Here is a 3,607-nt window from a genome sequence, read left to right as displayed (position 1 = left end):
GGAAAGGCAGGTAAATATGTCTCGTGTTTATTGACAAGGAAGTCTTTGTTTACCTTTTGAAATTATTTTGTTGTTTTAGGAAGAAAAAATATGAATGCAGTGCAAAAGATGAGTGGCTGCAGGAAAGGCCTGAACTTGGGAAGAAACTGGGGATTGATCTATTCAAGCTATAGAGTCAAAATGACACTTTTAATTGGACTGCAGAGAGCACAAATTGATGAACAAAATGCATAATTTCTCTTTTTTATAGAGATGAACATTTTCATCTAGTCATGTGTGTCATCTTAAATACAATATTACCCAAAATAAAGAAAATAAAATTCTATACTGGGTTTCTTTCACGCAATATTATAGACTCGAGAGGTCTAAATATTTGTCTAGATGTAACTAAAATTTTTGTCAGATTTGGAAAAATATCTAGATGCTGTGGGTTCATTCTATATGTAACCACATAAAACTGCTAAAATAGATCAGAATTTTTAGATATGAGAGAGATAGGCTTTCCATATCTAGATTCCATTCGGTCTGAAAATTTTTTATGTAATAAAATACTCTCACAGTTTTAAAATGAAACTCAAAGTTTAATTACTTAAAATACACAAACACACAAACACATATACAAATCTAATATTGTGGGACAAAAATATTTCATCTCAATGAGAAATAAATATACTTACTTCTAATGTATGTATTAGTTTGAAATTTTATATGAATATAGTTATTTATTCAATGGATTTACAATAATTTCATATTCAAATAACAAGAATTTAAAGAAGGTTCTAGAAATATGACTACTTTTAAAATTATAACTACATCTAGACTCTTTTAAAAATTATTTTTATACAAATATGAAATGATTTTTAATGAACTGGAGTTAGGTGTTTTCGGTTTGAATAACCCAGATACATCCTTCAAATTCCTGCTCCCTTTGTGATGATCTGATCCGATCATATTATTTGTTTTTAGGATCAGTACTGAAAGCTGCTGCTGGATCAATACTAGTTCCAAAGAAGGTTACAGTGACTGGATCATGTATCTCATAGTATGCTTGCTTATATTCACATTTCTGCCAAAACCTGGAAGAGAAGCCAAAGAAATAGAAAACGAGAGTTTATTTTTCTGAATAAACTGGCTTCTGGCACAACATAAGCACTAACACCACACCTCCCAGGATTTTCTTAGTGCCAAATCTGCATCTAAGACTTAAAAAGCATAGTTTGGTTTAGTGGAAAAAATATTAATTGTATATTAAACAAAGTAGTCACATATGTTGCTTTGTATAATAAAAATAGATCAACCATTGTATTAACTTTTAACCTATCTCCCTGATATGCAGACTCAGTTTCCTTTACTTTTCAATCCCTGTGAAAAGAGAGCACTTTTGTCTGATTTTATAAGAAGAGATATCCCAGGATAAAGAGCTGGTAAAGTACGCATTAATGAAGCTATATTGAGCGCTACTTCTATTTCCGCTCCCTTTTAGTTAAAAAAAATCTTTCTTTTTGCTGTTTTCTTTGAAAATTTGGCTTCAATGCTCTCATTCTTTCTTTCTTGTAAACTGTTCATTTTATCTCTTCATTGTGCCACCATATTCTTTAAATGTGGCAGTTTACTAGATGTCACTATTGATAATAGATTTATTTATACCTGGTGACTTTTCTACCTGAATAATGCATGTTTTAGAAGATCATTTCATATTAGCATTAATTGTGGAAACAAAAGGCCAACAGGTGGAATCTAATATCGATTTGCTTCAAAATAACAACGATGTTCTTCAATGGTGGCTTGCTATTGGGAGAATTTTATGAGCCCTGTATGCAGTATTTCTGAAACTTGAGTAATGCGTTGGCTTATCTCAAAGAAACAATCTTCTAGACCTATAGTGTTGTTTTATTAGAATGTGACATGCATATATGACATATAAAATTTGGGGCCAGGCGCGGCGGCTCATGCCTGTAATCCCAGCACTTTGGGAAGCCTAGGCAGGAGGATCACTTGAGGTCAGGAGTTCGAGACCAACTTGGCCAACATGGTGAAACCCCAGCTTTACTAAAAGTACAAAAATTAGCTGGGTGTGGAGGCACACACTAGTAATCCCAGCTACTGGGGAAGCCAAGTCATGAGAATCACTTGAATCGGGAGGCAGAGGTTACAGTCAGCCGATATCTCACCACAGCACTCCAGCTGGGGCAATAAGTGAGACTCTATCTAAAAAAAAAAAAAAAAAAGTGATAATAATAAATAAATAAATAAATAAATAAATAAATAATAACAAATAAAATTTGGTATAAATTTACTATGATTATAGTTTCTATACAACAGTGCAATCAAAAACTAATCTATAAATTAAATACAAAATAATAAGTAAACATAAACAACTTCTAATTATAATGAGGTAGTGCTTTGGATCCATTTTTGTCTTTATTACTATCCATTGGCTTTAATCAAGCAAATTCAGAATATGACTGTTGGCATTACAATAGTATCCAAATAGCAATAAATTCAAATTCAGCATAATCTGTCATTCCTCCACAAACAAAATCCTAATGTTGTTTAAATATCTTCATTTCAAGATAAAATTAGCATATATGACATTGAAATTTATATTAAATTGGTATGTAATCCAATTATTTCTGGAATCAGAAACTGGAAAATTGTATCTGAAGTTGACTTCAACTCTTGCGAAGTAGGAAAAAAATTATATTTTCAACAAAGTACATCACTGGACTGTTGAAGGAAATTGCAATTTATTAGAAATGAATCCTCTTATTTTGCATTTAAAATTTCAAATCCTCATGAAGCTATTATTTACCATTAAGCCTTTACTTGACTTGAATATTTCAGTTTTGGATTACGCTACTGTTCTATTCTCTGTAGTTTAAAAGGATGAAGGCAATGTATTGTGTTTGCACACATTGTTATTTCACCATGTAGAATTTAAGCTTTACTTTATTTAAAAAATTCAGAAATTAAATTTTTATATCATGGAACTGTCACATGTGAATTATTCATGTAGTAGATACGTTTCATATTTATTTCTAGTAAAATAATTCAATATAAAAACAATAATTTAGCTCAGACTTGCTACTGGTTCCCAGATATATTGACCCCAAATTAAATATGCTTATAATCACTTGGCATAAACATGACTGTAAGAAATACAGAAGTGTGTATACCAAGTCTTGTGGTAAAACTTTGTTCTAAGATGATGATCTAGATAAATTAGAATAAACGTTTAAAAAAACCCTTTTACTTTCAGAAAAGTATTAGACTTACAGAAAAATTGTGAAGACAATTCAGAGGGTTCTCATACAACCCACATCCAGTTTCCCCTTATTAACATTTACATAAGTGTGGTACATTTGTCACAATTAATGAACCAATACTGATATCATTATTAACTAAAGTCCAAACTTATTTAGATTGTCTTAGTTTTATCTAATGTTGTTTTTCTGTTCTAGGATCCCATCCAAGATACCACATTGCATTTCATTGTCTTGTCTCCCTAGGTTTCTTTTGGCTGTGGCAGTTTTCAAACACTGTCTTTGATGACCTGGACATTTTTGAGGAGTCATGTCGCATGCCCCTCTGTTGGAATTTATCTGAT

At 31.4% G+C, this 3,607-nt stretch overlaps 1 long non-coding RNA gene across 1 annotated transcript in view; it reads right to left on the bottom strand.

Moving 5' to 3' along the window:
* Positions 1-836: 836 nt before the first annotated feature.
* LOC105377953 (uncharacterized) overlaps positions 837-3,607 on the bottom strand; it is a 29,486-nt gene continuing 26,715 nt past the window's right edge. The window contains exon 6 of the long non-coding RNA XR_942891.2: positions 837-1,076. This is a non-coding gene — a long non-coding RNA (uncharacterized LOC105377953). The remainder of the gene's footprint in view (positions 1,077-3,607) is intronic.

Source organism: Homo sapiens, chromosome 6, assembly GCF_000001405.40.
Source record: "Homo sapiens chromosome 6, GRCh38.p14 Primary Assembly".
Classification (NCBI taxonomy): Eukaryota; Metazoa; Chordata; class Mammalia; order Primates; family Hominidae; genus Homo; species Homo sapiens.
Note: the sequence above shows the minus strand (reverse complement) of the source record. Positions and strands in the feature narration are given on the sequence as shown.